General features: G+C 40.9%; 1 annotated feature.

Moving 5' to 3' along the window:
* Positions 13,032-13,730: an enhancer, noted in NCBI's record as "OCT4-NANOG-H3K27ac hESC enhancer chr7:55366838-55367536 (GRCh37/hg19 assembly coordinates)". NCBI's record gives its function as "activates a minimal SCP1, AML or CMV promoter by ChIP-STARR-seq in naive and primed H9 embryonic stem cells {active_cell/tissue: H9 hESC(naive and primed)}" and the evidence as "EXISTENCE:reporter gene assay evidence [ECO:0000049][PMID:30033119]".

Consider the following 20,390-nt stretch of genomic DNA (forward strand, 5'->3'; position numbering starts at 1 on the left):
TAACGAAAAAGATCATCTAACCAAATTAGTATAAAATAATTTTGTGCGTTGGATATATATTAAAGGAAGTAAGCCAAAAATTTAGCTTAGAAATTTAAATTTCCTATAAAGAGAGGAGGTGTTTCGAGGAAGTAGAGTTTGCCTTTCTGATATCCACAAATCTCTGTGTTTCTTAATTTGAAATCTTAAGTTATTAGTTCTCTTAAATGTAAGAGAACTTACATTTTATCTATAACACTGACCTACAAGTTCTAAATATCCAGTTTAGGAATTCTTCTACTTTAGATATTCAATTTACCACCTTTTAAAATTGTTAGCAAAACTACTCACAAAAACTCTTGCACAGGCCAGGAGCAGTGGCTCATGCCTGTAACCCCAATACTTTGGGAGGCCAACACCATGGGTGAATCATGAAGTCAGGAGTTTGAGACCAGCCTGGCCAACATGGTGAAACCCTGTCTCTACTAAAGATACAAAATTAGCCAGGCATGGAGGCACATTCCTGTAATCCTAGCTACTTGGGAGGCTGAGGCAGGAGAATTGCTTGAACCCAGGAGGCGGAGGTTGCAGTGAGCTATCACACCACTGCACTCCAGCCTGGGCAATACAGCAAGACTCCATCTCCAAAAAAAAAAAAAAAAAAAAAAACACTAGCACAAAGATTCCACCCACAACCCCCAGGAAGCAATAGAGAAGCTGGGAAACAACTGGAGATGGCTAAGGAGTGACAGATCTTTCCTAGGAGACTAGAGAGCAAACGGTTGGCTGAGAGGCTCTCTGGCTTTGGTGTGCAGCTGCTGCCTTGGCAGACACTTGTTTGAGGTCTTCTCTTTCCTCCCACAGTTCCTGCAAACCACTCCACTCCACCTTAACTCTGGAAGAGTGGGGCATCTTCTCAGGTGATGCCTTGGGCCCCCGAAAAGTTTTCTCTAGTTCCTCCTAGAGATGGCACTCATTAATAAGTCCATTGTGATTTCAGAGTCCTAATAGATTAAAAAAAAAAAAACAACCTTCCTGAATGTTAACTGTTAAGCTAGTTCAGTTAAGTTAGTGATTGAAATTTAAACACGCTATTGTATGGCAGAAGTAGCAGCAGCAAATCAAGCCTTCTCTTCAGGCTGGGTGTGGTGGCTCAAGCCTGTAATCCCAGCACTGTGGGAAGCTGAGGCAGGCAGATCACTTGAGGTCAGGAGTTAGAGACCAGCCTGGCCAACACGGCACCCCGTCTCTACTAAAAATACAAAAATTAGTCAGGGATGGTGGTGCATGCCTGTAATCCCAGCTACTCAGGAGGCTGAGGCAGGAGAATCACTTGAACCCAGGAGGCAGAGGTTGCAGTGAGCCGAGATTGTGCCACTGCACTCCAGCCTGGATGACAAAGTGAGACTCCGTCTCAAAATTAAAAAAAAAAAAAAAAGTCATCTCTTGTGTCAATGGGGAACAGAAAAATTCTGAGCACCTAAGTGGAGGAGGGTGAGCAGGAGAAGAATATAACAGGGCAGGAGAAAGCTGTAGAAAAGCAGTGCTGAGAATACCAGAAGCAAACTTCTATGTCAGTCCTGCCTGGAACTCCAGCCAACTTCCATTGTGTGCAGAGGTATTTTTTCAAGGAAACTAAAAACTTGGGACATCAATTCACTATACCAAAAGAAAACCTGTCGACCCTGCTGTGTCAAACTAAATGACAGGTTCTTGTAGTGTGTGACTTATGACGCTGTGTGCTTGTTATCTTACTGTAGCCAACTTTGTCATAGAGGAGCATTCAAACAGCTCCTTGGTTGCATTATCATTAAACTACCAACAGGCAGAAGACTAGTTTCCAACAGAAGGATAAATTTCATTTTATAGCTCGGTAAAAGCTTTTATAAAAATAATCATTAAGTTATTGTAACAAGAAAATAGTAAAGATATCAAGAAATTTTGTTTTCTAATATCAGTTGTGCCCTGAGTAAAGTATTTAGGGTTTTTAAATCAAGTTTAGCCTAAAGCTGCCTCCTTACGTATTTTAAGTTCAGCCTAAAGGTTTTTCTGTACATCATGAACTATAACAAGCGGAGGTGTCATGAGACACCTCCTTGTGCCAATCACGGAGTTTTGGCCAATCAAATGTAGCCAGCTGTTCAAACCATGTTCAAGTAAGGCAAATGACAAGCTGTTTATGTACCTCACTTCCATTTTCTGTACATCACTTTCCTTTTTCTGTCATAAATCTTCTTCCACCACATGGCTGTGCCAAAGTCTGAGCCTATTCTGGCTCAGGAGGCTGCCCCATTTGTGAATCATTCATTGCTCAATTAAACTCCTTTAAATTTAATTTGGCTGAAGATTTTCTTCTATCAGGGTCTTGATCGTGTGTTTTAATGTATATAGACAGAAGTTACAGAGAATACACAGTGCATAGAATTTCAGTTGTACCTTAGAAACTCTGAGTGTGAAGTAGTTAAAATACAAAACCCCAATCTGCTCACATATTTACTGAGCAGACACTGACAGACAGTGCCACCTTCTATAATTGTACAATTACATGCAGTAACTAACCAGAATGAAAATAGAGCTTGGGAAATGGAGCAGATGGCCACATCATCGCTTACAAGATGCACTTGAAGTGGAGATTATGATCCAGCATCTCACCATTTTCAGGGGAAGCTATTTGAATGGCAGATGCCTCCCAGAGGTCCTGCTATGTCCTCCCACCTGGGGTGAAGCATCCCTGTGAAGTCTACCACGCTCCCACAGAGCTCATGCCACCACCTTCAGCAGGATGCACTGAAAATTGTTTTATAGCTGCTAACTTAAAACAACTGAAGACAGATATTGAGGCTTTTCTACAGTTTATATATTTATTTTCTCAAGTCCAAGGAAAGAATTGGTTCTGCATGAACCAGAATACGTTGAGGATTGTGAAAGGAAACTAAAAACTTGGGACCTCAATTCACTATACCAAAAGAAAAAAAATTCAACTGAAAGCTGAGTCTTGCAAGAAGCTGCCTTTCCTCCTGTTCCTAGCAGAAAGCTACAGATTAAAGGTTAAATATCTCCACGAGTAGCTACTGTATGTTCACATTATCTTATGTAAAGAGCTGATTTACTGAGCATAAGAGGAATACGTGATTGACTATTCCCTACCTGCTCATTTCCTCTTACAAATATGCATTCAATAATGTGACCATCCCCTCTCCCTCTCCCCTCCAGCCCACTTTTTCTCTGTAAATACTGAAGCCCTCAGAATCATCTTTGAAGAAAGGCACAGAGCATAGACTGTTTCTGTGATTTCATGTGTATTTCTTCTGGGCATGTCCTTAACTTTGTCAAAATAAACTTCTAAATTGATTAAGACCTGTCTCAGATACTTTTTGGTTTACAGAATCAGTATGAAACACAGAAGATTACCAGTAAACAACACCAGACAAGCAAAATCTACCCCAAGACTAAGGCATTGCTAAAAACTACCCCAAGAGTAAGGCATTGCTAAATTGTAAAGTAATTCTGCTTGAGTTTACCAACTCCAAAAATCAGGGATTGGTGTAATCACTCAAGTTTCATTTGCATGAAACTTGAATGACCAGTGATTATGAACTTTTTTTTATATGTTTGTTGGCCACATAAATGTCTTCTTTTGAGAAGTGTCTGTTCATACCCTCCGCCCACTTTTTGATGGGGTTGTTTGTTTTTTTCTTGTAAATTTGTTTAAGTTCATTGTAGATTCTGGATATTAGTCCTTTGTCATATGGATGGATTGCAAAAATTTTCTCCCATTCTATAGGTTACCTGTTCACTCTGATGATAGTTTCTTTTACTGTGCAGAAGCTTTTTAGTTTAATTAAGTTCCATTCATCAATGTTGGCTTTTGTTGCCATTGCTTTTGATGTTTTACTCATGAAGGCTTTGCCCATGCGTATGTCCTGAATGTTATTGCCCAGGCTTTCTTCTCAGGTTTTTATGCTTTTAGATTTTAATGTTTAAGTCTTTAATTTATCTTGAGTTAATTTTTCTATAAGGTGTAAGGAAGGGGCCCAGTTTCAGTTTTCTGCATATGGCTAGCCAGTTTTCCCAACACCATTTATTAAATAGGGAATCCTTTCCCCATTGCTTATTTTTGTCAGGTTTGTCAAAGATCAGATGGTTGTATATGTGTGGTGTTATTTCTGAGGCCTCAGTTCTGTTCCATTGGTCTATATATCTATTTTCGTACCAGCACCATGCTGTTTTGGCTACTGTAGACTTGTAGTATCATGTGAATTCAGGTAGTGTGATGCCTCCAGCTTTGTTCTTTTTGCTTAGGATTCTCTTGGCTTTACAGGCTCTTTTTTGGTTCCATACGAAGTTTAAAGTAGTTTTTTCTAATTCGGTGAAGAAAGTCAGCAGTAGCTTGATGGGGATAGCATTGAATCTATAAATTACTTTGGGGATTATGGCAATTTTCACAATATTGATTCTTCCTATCCATAAGCATGGAATGTTTTTCCATTTGTTTGTGTCCTCTCTTACTTCCTTGAGCAGTGGTTTGTAATTCTCCTTGAAGAGGTACTTCACATCCCTTGTAAGTTTTATTCCTAGGTATTTTATTCCCTTTGTAGCAATTGTGAATGGGAGTTGACTCATGATTTGGCTGTTTGTCTATTATTGGTGTATAGGAATGCTTGTGATTTTTGCACATTGATTTTGTATCCTGAGACTTTGCTAAGTTGCTTATCAGCTTAAGGAGATTTTGGGCTGACACAATGGGGTTTTCTAAATATATAATCATGTCATCTACCAACAGAGACAATTTGACTTCCTCTCTTCCTATTTGAATACCCTTTATTTCTTTCTCTTATCTGATTGCCCTGGCCAGAACTTCCAATACTATGTTGAATAGGAGTGGTGAGAGAGGGCATCCTTGTCTTCTGCTGGTTTTCAAGGGAACACTTCCCAACTTTGCCCATTCAGTATGATATTGGCTGTGGATTTGTCATAAATAGCTCTTGTTATTTTGAGATATGTTCAATCGATACCTAGTTTATTGAGAGTTTTTAGCATGAAGGGGTGTTGAATTTTATCGAAGGCCTTTTCTGCATCTATTGAGACAATCATGTGGTTTTTATCATTGGTTCTGTTTATGTGATGGATTATGTTGATTAATTTGTGAATGTTGAACCAGCCTTGCATCCCAGAGATGAAGCCGACTTGATCGTGGTGGACAGGCTTTTTGATGTGCTGCTGGATTCGGTTTGCCATTATTTTATTGAGGATTTTTGCATCAATGTTCATCAGGGATATTGGCCTGAAATTTTCTTTTTTTGTTGTGTCTCTGCCAGGTTTAGGTATAAGGATGATGCTGGCCTCATAAAATGAGTTAGGGAGGAGTCCCTCTTTTTCTATTGTTCAAAATAATTTCCGAAGGAATGGTACCAGCTCCTCTTTGTGCCTCTGGTAGAATTCGGTTGTGGATCCATCTGGTCCTGGGTTTTTTTTGGCTGGTAGGCTATTAATTACTGCCTCAATTTCAGAACTTGTTATTGATCTATTCAGGGATTCGCCTTCTTCCTGGTTTAGTCTTGGAAGGGTATATGTGTCCAGGAATTTATCCATTTCTTCTAGATTGTCTGGTTTATTTGCATAGAGGTGTTTATAGTATTCTCTGGTGGTAGTTTGTATTTCTGTGGGATCAGTGGTGATATCTCCTTTATCATTTTTTATTGTGTCTATTTGATTCTTCTTTCTTTTCTTCTTTATTAGTCTGGCTAGAGGTCTATTTTGTTAATCTTTTCAAAAAACCAGCTCCTGGATTCACTGATTTTTTTGAAGGGTTTTTTGTATCTCTATCTCTTTCATTTCTACTCTGATCTTAGTTATTTCTTGTCTTCTGCTAGCTTTTGAATTCTCTTGCTTCTCTAGTTCTTTTAATTGTGATGTTAGGGTGTCAATTTTAGATCTTTCCTGCTTTCTCCTGTGTGCATTTAGTGTTACAAATTTCCCTCTAAACACTGCTGTAGCTGTGTCCCAGAGATTCTGGTAGGTTTTATCTTTGTTCTCATTGGTTTCTCATTATTTATTTCTGCCTTAATTTTGTTATTTACCCAGTAGTTATTCAGGAGCAGGTTGTTCAGTTTCCATGTAGTTATGTAGTTTTGAGTGAGCTGAGTGAGTTTCTTAATCCTGAGTTCTAATTTGATTGCACTGTGGTCTGAGAGACTGTTCGTTATGATTTCCATTCTTTTGCATTTGCTGAGGAGTGTTTTACTTCCAATTACATGGTCAATTTTAGAGCAAGTGCGATGTGGTGCTGAGAAGAAAGTATATTTTTTTGATTTGGGTGGAGAGTTCTGTAGATGTCTATTAGGTCTGCTTGGTCCAGAGCTGAGTTCAAGTCCTGAATACCCTCGATAATTTTCTGTCTTGTTGATCTAATATTGACAGTGGGGTGTTAACTTCTCCCACTGTTATTGTGTGGTAGTTTAAGTCTCTTCGTAGGTCTCTAAGAACTTGCTTTATGAATCTGGGTTCTCCTGTATTGGGTGCTTATATATTTAGGATACTTAGCTCTTCTTGTTGCGTTGATCCATTTACCATTATGTAATGCCCTCCCCTCTGTCTTTTTTTGTCTTTGTTGGCTTAAAGTCTGTTTTATCAGAAACTAGGATTGCAACCCCTGCTTCTTTTTGCTTTCCATTTGCTTGGTAAATATTCCTCCACCCCTTTATTTTAAGCCTATGTGTGTCTTTGCAAGTGAGATGGGTCTCCTGAATACAGCACACCAATGGGTCTTGACTCTTTATCCAATTTGCCAGTCTGTATCTTTTAATTGGGGCATTTATCCCATTTACATTTAAGGTTAGTATTGTTTAGTGTGAATTTGATCCTATCATTATGTTGCTAGCTGGTTATTTTGCCCATTAGTTGATGCAGTTTCTTCATAGTGTCGATGGTCTTTACAATTTGGTATGTTTTTGCAGTGGCTGGTACCGGTTTCACCTTTCCATATTTAGTGCTTCCTTCAGGAGCTCTTGTAAGGCAAGCCTGGTAGTGACAAAATCTCTCAGCATTTGCTTGTCTATAAAGGATTTTATTTCTCCTTCACTTATGAAGCTTAGTTTGGCTGGATATGAAATTCTAGTTTGAAAGTTATTTGCTTTAAGAATGTTGAATATTGGTCCCCACTCTGTTCTGGCTTATAGCGTTTCTGCAGAGAGATCCACTGTTAGTCTGATCATCTTTCCTTTGTGGGTAACCTGACCTTTCTCTCTGGCTGCCTTAACATTTTTTCCTTCATTTCAATCTTGGTGAATCTGACGATTATGTGTCTTGGGGCTGTTCTTCTCAAGGAGTATCTTTGTGGTGTTCTCTTGTTTCCTGAATTTGAATGTTGGACTGTCTTGGTAAATTGGGGAAGTTCTCCTGGATAATATCCTGAAGAGTGTTTTCCAAACTGGTTCCATTCTCCCTGTCACTTTCAGGTACACCAATCAAACATAAGTTTGGTCTTTTCACATAGTCCCATATTTCTTGAAGGCTTTGTTCATTCCTTTTCATTCTTTTTTCTCTAATCTTGTCTTCACACTTCATTTCATTAAGTTGATCTTCAATCTCTGATGTCCTTTTTTCCACCTGATTGATTTGGCTATTGATACTTGCATATGTTTAATGAAGTTCTCGTGCTGTGTTTTTCAGCTCCATCATGTCATTTATGTTCTTCTCTAAACTGGTTATTCTAGTTAGCAATTCCTCTAACCATTTTTCAAGGTTCTTAGCTTCCTTGCATTGAGTTAGAACATGCTCCTTTAGCTCAGAGGAGTTTGTTACTACCCACCTTCTGAAGCCTACTTCTGTCAATTCGTTAAACTCATTCTCCCTCCAGTTTTGTTCCCCTGCTGGTGAGGAGTTGTGATCCTTTGGAGGAGAAGAGGCATACTGGTTTTTGGAATTTTCAGCCTTTTTGCGCTGATTTTTCCTCATCTTTGTGGATTTATCTCCCTTTGGTTTTTGATGTTGGCGACCTTCAGATGGGGTTTTTGTGTGGATGTCCTTTTTGTTGATGTTGATGCCATTCCTCTCTGTTAGTTTTCCTTCTAACAGTCAGGTCCCTCTGCTGAAGGTCTGCTGGAGTTTGCTGGAGGTCCCCTCCAGACCCTGGGTATCACCAGCGGAGGCTGCAAAACTACTAAGATTGCCGCCTGTTCCCTCCTCTGGAAGCTTTGTCCCAGAGGGGCACCCACCAGATGCCAGCCAGAGCTCTCCTGTATGAGGTGTCTGTCAACACCTGCTGGGAGGTGTCCCCCAGTCAGGAGGCATGGGGGTCAGGGACACACTTGAGGAGGCAGTCTGTCCCTTAGCAGAGCTTGAGCACTGTGCTGGGAGATCCACTGCTCTCTTCAGAGCCAGCAGGCAGGAACATCTAAGTCTGCTGAAGCTGCACCCACAGCCACCCCTTCCCCCAGGTGCTCTGTCCCAGGGAGATAGGAGTTTTATCTATAAGCCCCTGACTGGGGCTGCTGCCTTTCTTTCAGAGATGCCCTTCCCAGAGAGGAGGAATCTAAAAAGGCAGCCTGGCTACAGCAGCTTTGCCATGCTGTGGTGGGCTCTGCCCAGTTCAAACTTCCCGGTGGCTTTGTTTACACTATGAGGGGAAAACTGCCCACTCAAGCCTCAGTAATGGCGGACGCCCCTTCCCCCACCAAGCTCTAGCATCCCAGGTCGACTTCAGACTGCTGTGCTGGCAGTGAGAATTTCAATCCAGTGGATCTTAGCTTTCTGGGCTCCATGGGGGTGGGATCCACTGAGCTAGACCACTTGGCTCCCTGACTTCAGCCCCCTTTCTAGGGGAATAAACAGTTCTGTCTTGCTGATGTTCCAGATACCACTAGGGTATGAAAAAAATTCCTGCAGCTAGCTTGGTGGCTGCCCAAACAGCCGCCCAGTTTTGTGCTTGAAACTCAGGGTCCTGGTTGTGTAGGCACCTGAGGGAATCTCCTGGTCTGTGGGTTGCAGAGACTGTGGGAAAAGCATAGTATCTGGGCCAGAATGCACCATCCCTCACGGCATGGTCCCTCACAGCTTTCCTTTGCTAAAGGAAGGAGTTCCATGACCCCTTGCGCTTCCTGGGTGAGGCGATGCCCCACCCTGCTTCAGTTCACCCTCCATGGGCTGCACCCACTGTCTAACCAGTCAACTAATTAGAGCCCTTTTATATATTTTTAATAGTGAAACATTGTGTATGCAACACATAAATACATAGACATATTGAGCCAGGAGAATAGGGTAGGAGACAGGGAACGTAAGGCCCATTTGTGCTGACTTCCTAAAAGAAAAAACACAGCCGGGCACGGTGGCTCATGCCTGTAATCCCAGCACTTTGGGAGGCCGAGGTGGGCGGATCAGGAGGCCAGGAGATTGAGACCATCCTGGCTAACACAGTGAAACCCCGTCTCTACAAAAAAATACAAAAAATTAGGTGGGCATGGTGGTGGGTGCCTGTAGTCCCAGCTACTCGGGAGGCTGAGGCAGGAGAATCACTTGAACCCAGGAGGCGGAGGTTGCGGTGGGATGAGATCGTGCCATTGCACTCCAGCCTGGGCAACAAGAGCGAAACTCCATTTCAAAAAAAAAAAAAGAAGGCCAGGCGCGGTGGCTCACGCCTGTAATCCCAGCACTTTGGGAGGCCGAGGTGGGCGGATCACAAGGTCAGGAGATCGAGACCATCCTGGCTAACATGGTGAAACCCCGTCTCTACTAAAAATACAAAAAATTAGCTGGGCGTGGTGGTGGGTGCCTGTAGTCCTAGCTACTCAGGAGGCTGAGGCAGGAGAATGGCGTGAACCCGGGAGGCAGAGCTTGCAGTGAGCCGAGATCACGCCACTGCGCTCCAGCCTGGGCAGCAGAGGAGACTCCGTCTCAAAAAAAAAAAAAAAAAAAAGGAAAAAGGAAAAAAAAGACAAAACACCAAGGCCTGGGGGGCAGGGAATCTAAGGCCCATTCAAGCTGACTTCCCAAAGCTGGATAAAAGGAAAACACCTGGGTCTGTGGGCAGGTAACCTAAGGCCAACTAACACAAACTTCCTACAGCTAAATCAAAAGAGAAAAACCCTGTCTCCCCACCCCAGGTAACAAAGGATCAAAGGCTACTCTTGCTACAGCCCTCCCACTTCCGCCACGTCTCAGGGGGAAAAGGAGAGTGCCTTGGGTTGGCTATGGGCCAAGCAGGGGACCTTCCCTTCATCTGCACAGGGCGCCAATTCACCTCAGCCTTAAATTAGCCATAGACCAAATCCAGATAAGCGGTAGCCAATAAGAACCTCAAATGGGCCGGGTGGCTCATGCCTGTAATCCAGCACTTTGGGATGCTGAGGCAGGCAGATCACGAGATCAAGAGTTTGAGACCAACCTGGCCAATATGGTGAAACCCAGTCTCTACTAAAAGTACAAAAATTAGCCGGGTGTGGTGGCAGGTGCCTGTAATCCCAGCTACTCGGGAGGCTGAGGCAGGAGAATCACTTGAACCCGGAAGGCAGAGGCTGCAGTTAGCTGAGATCATTCCACTGCACTCCAGCCTGGGCAAAAGAGCAAAACTCCGGAAAAAAAAAAAAAAAAAAAAAAAAAACCTCAAATGGGGTACTTAAAGCCCAAAACAATTTGTAACTGGGTCCTTGAGCTTGTTGCTGGGGCCCACTCTCACCCTGTGGAGTGCTTTCTCGCTTTAATAAATTCCTGCTTTCACTGCTGTGTTCCTGCATTTCATTCCTCTGCTACTTTATTTGTGAGTTTTGTTCAATTCTTTGTTCAAAATGCCAAGAACCTGGACAACTTGTAGTCAAGACCCTCCACCGGTAACAGTATTAGGCATAACAGTAGAAGTACATCTTATCGATTCATAAGACCTTCTCTTTTTTTTTTTTTTCCTATCTTAGACTTGCAAACTCTTGATAACCTGTTTCATTACTCTGGCAGTTGTCAGTTAAATAGCCCTAAGTCTGCATATTGAAGGAAATAATTCTTAGGTGAAAAATCAGCAAAATTTACATCTCAAGGTACAGAGAGAAAAAGTCTGGTGGTGCTAGAGGGAGATTAAAGATGTATGCCAAATCAAACATAAAATTATAGAAATCTATCATAGGATTGTCTAAGGAGACCAATTTATTTAGATAGAGACTACCTATATTTTAACTGGATCTCTGAGCTCTGGGCAGAGCCATCACTGGAATCCTGGGTCTCCAAAAAGGGAGAATTATTATGAGGCTAGACCACACGATGCTTTTACAGTGCACTTAAAAAAAAATTTTTTTTTTTTGAGACAAAAATTTTTTTTTTTTTGAGACGGAGTCTCGCTCTGTCGCCCAGGCTGGAGTGTAGTGGCAGGATCTCGGCTCACTGCAAGCTCTGCGTCCTGGGTTCATGCCATTTTCCTGCCTCAGCCTCCAGAGTAGCTGGGACTACAGGCGCCCGCCACCAAACCCGGCTAATTTTTTTGTATTTTTAGTAGAGACAGGGTTTCACCGTGTTAGCCAGGATGGTCTCGATCTCCTGACCTCATGATCCGCCCGCCTTGGCCTCCCAAAGTGCTGGGATTGCAGGCGTGAGCCACCGTGCCCAGCTACAGTGCACTTAAAAATGTTTTTAAACAAAAACATTTATAAGTGTCTAAACTACACTCTTCCTTAAAAACACACAAGAGTAGTCTCTGTTCCAATAGCTATTTTAGTAAAAAAATCAGGTAACACAATACAAAAGCAAGCAGTTTAAGAGCTGAGATGAACTTGTCTGTTTACACTCTTGGGGTTCCATAAGGAAAAACAGAGGTTTCTCCCCAAAAGGGAGTCTGGCACCTTTTCTGTTTTCTTTAAGGAATCCCAATCTAATCTACTAAAACTATTTTAGGTCTCTCATGCAGCAGAGGGTGCAAGAGAAAGGGGAGACAGCAGAAGTAAATGAAGAAAACAGAATTCATTCAACTAGAAGAAAAAACTTTTGCTGAAAAAAAACAAGGTCCTAGGAGAAAAAAAACAAAAACAAAAACATGAAGGCCTTTTAAGTACAAACACACACACACACACACACACACACACACACACACACACACAGAGGAATCTTGGATGTTAGCTTTTAATTAAGCTGACCTTTAGTCCAGTTGAGCTCCTTTAAAAAAATCTTTTAAAATCTCATTACCATATTTCCGCTAGGACAAATTCCTGCTATTTCAGAAGTACCAAGTATCAAATGAGAAAGGGCTTGATTTGGGAACCAAATCCAGGCTCTTGTGGTGAAAAGAGAAGGCAGAACTTTAGCTATGGAACTGCAGCACGGGGCGACAGCCATTGCTCTTTCCGTTTGGCCTGGCTAGCAAAAAGGTGGCCTCGTTATGTTAATAAAGACCCTTAAGTACTCAAAATAAAAAATCTTTCCTTTTTGTTTCCCTTTTGCTGGCCATTTTTCTCCCCCCACCTCACCACCTTTTTGTGTGTGTGTATGGGAATTTAGCCACTTGGGAGTCCTCGTTCCCATAATTTGGAACTTCCCTTCAGATTTGATCAAGTCAAATAGAGTTGGTCAAACCCAATGGAAGAAAGACTGAAACAACAAGAACAACAGAAACAATCAACCAACCAAAAAAAAAAAAAAAACCAGTTAAGCAAAACAAATGATCCCACAACTTATACTATTACTGAGCACTGTAACACTAAGGAGAAATTAAATTTTAGCCAAGACAAACCCCAATTCAGTTACTTACCTAGGGATGGGTCTCAGGCCGAAGACTGCTCTCTACTATCCTAGATGCAGGAGAAAACTTAAACTTGTCTTCCCTGTTGGAAGAGAGCTCAAACTCCATAAAGGAGTCCAGAAGGAGCTTTCCTTCAACATCAAAGCAGGAAAACTTGCCTTCCTTGTGTTAGAAGCAAGTAAAACTCAGAGAAGAGGAAGTTGTACAGCAAAATAAACTTTAGATCTTGACCAAATTTTGGGAGATCAGGAATTCTCTGGAGGGGGTACTTCCAGGCCTCAGCAAATTGTCCTACTCATTCGAACCATAAAGATAACTCAAATTGGTACCAAGAACCGATGGGAGATTTGTCAAAGGTCAGGGGCACCTCCACTCAGAATCCCTCAGTGGTTACCAAAATGTGAACCCCAAATATCTGAGACAGATCTCAGTTAATTTAGAGAGTTTATTTTGCCAAGGTTGAGGATGCGCACCTGTGACACAGCCTCAGGAGGTCTTGACAACATGTGTCCAAGGTGGTTGGGGTACAGCTTGGTTTTATACATTTTAGGGAGACATGAGACATCAATCAATATATGTAAGAAGTTGATTGCTTCCATCTGGAAAGGAAGGACAACTGGAAGCATGGAAGAGGCTTCCAGGTTACACGTAGGTGAGAGACAAAGGGTAGCATTCTTTTGAGTTTCTGATTAGCCTCTCAAAAGGAAGCAATCAAATATGCATTTACTCAATGAGCAGAGGGTTGACTTTGAATAGAATGAGAGGCAGGTTTGCCCTAAGAAGTTCCCAGCTTGACTTTTCCCTTTAGCTTAGTGATTTTTGGAGTCCCAAGACTTATTTTCCTTTCACACTGTAAATGAGCCAAATGTACAATTAAAAGGCAAAGGTTTTCAGATTGGATGTTTAAAAAGGCAGACACAACTTGTGTGCGGCCTATAAAAAACCTATGCTAAATATAAAGACACAGAGAAAAAGGACGGAAATAGATACAGTAACAGTAATCAAATGAAAGCTGTAGAGGCTCTGTCATTTTAAAAATATTATCTGAGAACTTTCAGGGGAAATATAATGTGAAGAACAAAGAGAGTGACTTCATAATGACAAAAGTGTGAATTCAACAAGAGGAGGGCCGGGCGTCGTGGCTCACGCCTGTAATCCCAGCACTTTGGGAGGCTAATGCAGGTGGATCACTTGAGGCCAGGAGTTCAAGACCAGCCTGGCCAACATGGCAAAACACCGTCTCTACTAAAAATACAAAATTTAGGCAGGTGTTGTGGTGCATGCCTGTAATCTCAGCTACTCAGGTGGCTGAGGCACAATAATCACTTGATCTGGGAGGCAGAGGTTGCAGTGAGCTGAAATCATGCCACTGCACTCCAGCCTGGGCGACAGAGCAAGACTCTGTCTCAAAAAACATAACAAAAACAAAAACAAAAACCTAACAAGGGGACATAACAATCTTAATGTTTATGTTCCTAATTACAGAGTTTCAAATTACATGAAGCAAAAACTGATAACACAGAAAGAATAGGCAAATCAGTAATTATAGTCAGAGATGTCAACACCATTCTCTCAGTAATCAAAAGGACAAATAGATAGTAATCAATAGGAATGCAAAAAACTTGAACAGCATTTTTATCCAATCTGACCTAATTGACATTTATAGACCTCTCCATGCAACAACAGCAAAATATACACTCTTTTGAAGTATACCCAGAATAAATCATATTCTGGGTCGTAAAGCAAGTACTGGTAAATTTTTATAAACCCAAATTCTACCAAATATGTCATTCAACTACAATGGAATTAAACTAGAAATCAACAATATAATAAAGATTAAAACATACATACAAAGAAACAAAAGAAGATTTTTGAAGGTGATGAATATGTTTGGTACCTTGAGCATGGTGATGGTATTATGGGTTTGAACACATATGTTCAAACTCATCAAAATGTTTACATTAAATACGTGCAATTCTTTATATATCTAAACATACTCAATAAAGCTTAAAAATAATAAAATCTCAAATAATGAAAGTTATCTGGATAATCTCCAAATCTCCAAAGTGCTGGGAAGTGAAATAGCACATTTCTTTCTTTCTTTCTTTCTTTCTTTTTTTTTTTTTTAATTTGAGACAGAGTCTTGCTCTGTCGCCCAGCCTGGATTGCAGTGGCATGATCTTGGCTCACTGCAACCTCCACCTCCCAGGTTCAAGCAGTTCTCCTGCCTCAGCCTCCCTAGTAGCTGGGATTACAGGCATGCGCCACCATGCATGGCTAATTTTTGTATTTGTTAGTAGAGACAGGGTTTCACCATGTTGGCCAGGCTGGTCTTGAATTCCTGACCTCAGGTGATCCACCTGCCTTGTTCTCCCAAAGGGCTGGGATTACAGGCCTGAGCCACTGTGCATGGCTAAATAGCCTATGTCTAAATAACACATACGATTAAAGAAGAAATCAAAAGAGAAATTAGAAATCATTCTAAACTAAATGAAAATTTAAAGAAAACACACAAAAATTGTGGGATGCTGTTAAAGTAGCATTGCCCTCTAGGGCAAATTCATAACATTAAACACCTATGTTAGAGGAAATCATGGGTCCAACTCGCTTTAAGATCCTAGGGAAAAAAGAGCAAATTAAACCCAAACTAAGCAGAATAAAGAAAATAATAAAAATTAGAGTGGAAATCAATGGAATAGAAAAAAATATAGTTGATGAGATCAAAAACATTTTTTAAAGAACATGAATAAAATCAATAAACCTCTAACCAGACTGATCAGGAGAAAGTAGAGAAGACATAAGTTACCAATATTAGGAATAAGCGATGTATCATCATTACAAATTCAGAGATTAAAAGAAAGTATCATGAGTGTTAATGGAAAAGCCAAACTCTGTAAAATATTTTAAAGAGGGAATTCTCAGCCAACACAAGTGACCACAACCCAGGGAAACACAATCGCAAAGAGTCCTGAAAAAGTGTGTCCACGGTAATTGGATTACAGTTTGGTTTTATACATTTCAAGGAAGCAGGAGTTATAGGCAAAGATACACATCAACTCATGGAAGATACACGTTGGTTCAGCCAAAGAGCCAGGATTCAGAGATTCCTTAGTTTGCAATTTATTAAAAAAGTAAGGTTCTGACTAAAACTTGGAGTCAGCAGAAAGCAATGTTTTACATTAAGATAAGGATGCCATGTAGCAAGACTGACAGCCTGCAGGTGACTTAACCCTGGCGCCACATGGCCTTAGGTCTTATTTTTAATTTGGTGTCTTATTGCCACAAAGAGTGTGTTCTGTCAGTGTTAAGATCTCTACTTTAACACTAATGCTGCTCAGGTGTTGTGCCTAAACTCCAAAAGGGACGGCAGGTAACAAGGTGTGTTCGACTTCCCTTCCCATCAAGGCTGAGAACTCAGTTTTCCAAGGTTTATGTGGAGTCTCCTTTGGCCAACAGGGGGGTCCATGCAGTCAGTGGGGGACTTAGGATTTTATTTTTAGTGTACGTGAGCAATAGTATAACAATCAATTTGACAATTTATATAAAGTGGACACAGTACTTGAGAGACACAAACTACCAAAGCTCATTCAGTCCAGAAATGGATAGCCTGAAAGCCCTTCCAGGAGAGAATTCTCCAGGGGTGTCTTGCGTTTCTGTATGTCTTGCAAGCAGAGCTTTGTTCTGGATGGTCTTCTTGTGACCTACAAAAGGGTCGGGCTGCTAGCTGCTTGTAGAAAGAAGTTAAAATAATAATGAGGGCCAGGCGCGGCGGCTCACGCCTGTAATCCCAGCATTTGGGGAGGCCAAGGCGGGTGGATCAACTGAGGTTGGGAGTTCGCGACCAGCCTGACCAACATGGAGAAACCCTGTCTCTACTAAAAATACAAAATTAGCTAGGTGTGGTGGTGCATGCCTGTAATCCCAGCTACTCGGGAGGCTGAGGCAGGAGAATTGCTTGAACTCAGGAGGTGGAGGTTGTGGTGAGCTGAGATCGTGCTGTTGCACTCCAGCCTGGGCAACAAGAGCAAAACTCTGCCTCAGAAAATAAAAATAAAATAACAACAATAATAATAATAATGAGTTGTGGAGGGAATGCAAGGGTTTTTAAAGAAAGGGTTTGGAATGCAGAAGAGGTGAGGGGTAGGGGTGAGAGTTGGTGATTAGGAGGTGCCAGGCAGCAAGACCCACTCCGATCACTCATCTTGAATTATTATTCAATTTGGTGAAGGGGCTGGCATCATCATGGATCCTACCAGGTTATAAATTAATCACAGTTAATCTTGTATCACTCTTCAGCTGGGAGTGGGTTCCAGCCTTGAAGTAATCTTTTGTTGGAGAGAGAATTCTGGAGGTGTCTAGTCCCTATGAGGATCCCACTCCTGAAGCCTCTAAGGAAATAGATGGCCAGATAGGTGAGCATGGTGTGTGCTTAACAAACATCTGGGTAAATAAGTGTGCATAAGGCATGGGGGCATAGAATGGAAAAGGATGGGAAGTGGAGGTTACAGCACTTTCTGAGGCTGTAGTACAAGATGAACATATACATAGCTTGTCTCAAAGTCATATCTTGAGACAAGGGAGTGGGCGAAGAGAAAAGGGGAAAGAAGAAAGTTTTAAAGTGTGGTTTAAGGCTCAGCTGCTAAGCTGCCCAGTTACATTCTCAAAGATGTTTGTATATGAACAGCTGTGGAAGACAGTGATGGTGTCTCACTCTGGAGCACAGAATAGTTTGATTACCTGTCCAGAATGATAATGTTTCCTTTAAGGCAAAGGTCAGATAGGTTTGCTAGCAGCCTGTATAATAAATCAAAAGAAACAAGGAGAGAGTGAGAGAGAGAAAAAAAAAGAAAAAGAAGAAGAAAGAAGAAGGAGGAGGAGGAGGAGCAGGGGAGGGGAAGGAAGAGGAGGGAGGGGAAGGAGGAGGAAAGAAAGAAAGAAGGAAAGGAAAAGAAGAGATTAATAAATAAAAGATTTTAGTTTGCTGAAGTAGGGGTTCCACGGCTGTGATGCAAATCTGGATGCCCTCAACATGAGGGTTCTGACACCTCCTGTGATTTTCAGCTTGGTCTTTCTCACTGCAGGGCCTTCTTAAGGGCATCTGAAGGGAGGTTTACCGAGGCTTTGTAAAGACAAGGGAGACACTCTTTCTTCTCCCTTCCCTTTTCTCCTCTTTTTTCTTTTGTCATTCTCTTTCCTCCTCCTTGTCTGACTGTCCTGTCTTAGTTCTTTTAGCAGCCTTATTGAAATATTTCCATACCACAAAATTCCTCCATCTAAAGGGTTTTACATTTTAAGTCTAGTAGTTTTTAGTATATTCACAGAGTTGTCCAACCATCACCACAATCTAACTTTAGAACATTTTTATTACCTCCAAAGGGAACACTATATGCAGTAGTAGTCAGTCCTCATTCCCACCCCACAAACCCTTCCCGGACAGCCACTACTTCACTCTCTGTCTCTACAGACTTGCCTATTCGGAAGATTTTGTGTAACTGGAATTATATAAAAGGTAGTCTTTTGCATCTGTCTTCTGCAACTTAGCATAGTATTGTCAATGTTTATGTTGTAGAATGCATCAGTCTTCATTATTTTTTATTGACAAGTAATACCATACTGTATGGATATTAAACATATTATTCATCTATTCAGCAGTTCCTGGACATTTTCCTTGTTTATACTATTTTGGTATTATGAGTAATGGTGCTGTGAATATTTGCATACGAGCCTTTGTGTGTGCACATGCTTTTCATTTCCCTTGGGTACACACCTACGAGTAGAATTGCTGGGTCATATCCACAGGAACTGCCAGACTGTTGTCCAAAGTGGCTGCCCTATTTTATCAGCAGTTCAGGAAGGTTCCAATTATTCCATATTCTCACCAACATTTGTTATCTATCTTTTTTGATTACAGTCCTAGAGGGTGTGAAATGGTATCTCTTTGTGGTTTTGATTTGCATTTCCCTAATTGACTAATGATATTAAGCATCTTTTCACGTGCTTATTGGCCATTTATATATATCCTTTGAAAAATATCTATTCAAATCCTTGTCCATTTTTAGTTGAGTTACTTGTCTTTTTATTACTGAGTTGTAAAAATTCTTTATGTTGTCTGGATAAAAGTACCTAACCATATGTATAATTTGCAAATATTTCCTCCCTTCCCAAATGGGAGAAAATGCAACAAAAACAAAAATAGACAAATGTGACATAATTAAACTAAAAATCTACACAGCAAAATAAATAATCAACAAAGTAAACAGATAACCTATGGAATGGGAGAAAATATTTGCAAATTACACCTCTAACAAAGGACTATCTCCAGAATCTACAAGGAACTAAAACAACTCAACAAGAAAACAAGTAAACAACCCCATTAAAAACTGGGCAAAGGATGTAAATGCGCATTTCTCAAAAGGGGACATACATGTGGCCAAAAATCATGAAAAAATTCTCCACATCACTAACCATCAGAGAAATGCAAATTAAAACCACAATGAGATATCATCTCACACCAGTCAGAGTGGCTACCATTAAAAAGTCAAAAAATAACAGTTGTTGGCATGGATGCAAAGGAAAGGGAATGCTTATACACTGTTGGTGGGAATGCAAATATACACTGTTGGTGGGAATGCAACTATAGCCTCTATGAAAAACAGTATGAAGATTTCTCAAATAGCTAAAAATAGAACTACTGTTTGACCCAGGAATCTCACAACTGGGTATCTACCAAAGGAAAAGAAATCATTACACAAAAAAGATACCTGCACTTCTCTGTTTATCACAGTACCATTCACAATAGCAAAGTCATGGAATCAACCTAAGTATCCATCAATTGTGGACTGGATAAAGAAAATGTGGTACATATATACCATAGAATACTATGTAGCCATGAGAAAGAATAAAGTCATGTCCTTTGCAGCAACATGGATGCAGTTGTAGGCCATCATCCTAAGTGAAATAACTCCAAAACAGAAAATCAAATGCCACATGTTCTCACTTATAAGTGGGAGGTAAACAATAAGTACACATGGACATAAAGATGGAAATAATAGACACTGGGGGAAAATAATAGGCAAAAAGTGGGGAAGGTAGAGAGATGAGGGTTGAAAAATTATCTATTGGGTATAATGTTCACCACTGGGGTGATGGGTACACTGGAAGCTCAAAGTCCCAGCATTACAAAATATACCCATGTAACAAACCTGCACATGTACAAATCTTGAATCTAAAATAAAAATGTTTTTAAATGTCTGAGTGAGAAAGGATTATAAAGGTCCCATAACCCCAGATTCCCCTGATCCCTGACCTGCATTTACCACATCCCAACCAAGTGGTCATCTGGCCAGTGCTAGAATGTCTGCAATGACAGAGATACTCTCCACCTGCCAAAACAGACAATTTCATTTTGGGGTCAGTTTGATTTTGGGGCAGGTCTTCCTTGAAGCTCTTGACAAATCATTTCAGTGTCAACCTCTTAGGATCATACAAAAAAGTCTTCCACATGATAGCTAGCCCTCTATAAACTTGATGACATATTTTTTATCCCTCAAACCTTTCCTCCTGAAGGTGAAATGTTCCCTAGTCCCTCAGTAAATTCTCACTTTGGCGTGTTTTTAGTTTCATCACCTGACTCATACTTTTGTGTTCCAGATTATTTTTAGCTTTCTAAACATGTGGCTCCCAAAAATGAATGCACTAT

Source organism: Homo sapiens, chromosome 7 (assembly GCF_000001405.40).
Source record: "Homo sapiens chromosome 7, GRCh38.p14 Primary Assembly".
Lineage (NCBI taxonomy): Eukaryota > Metazoa > Chordata > Mammalia > Primates > Hominidae > Homo > Homo sapiens.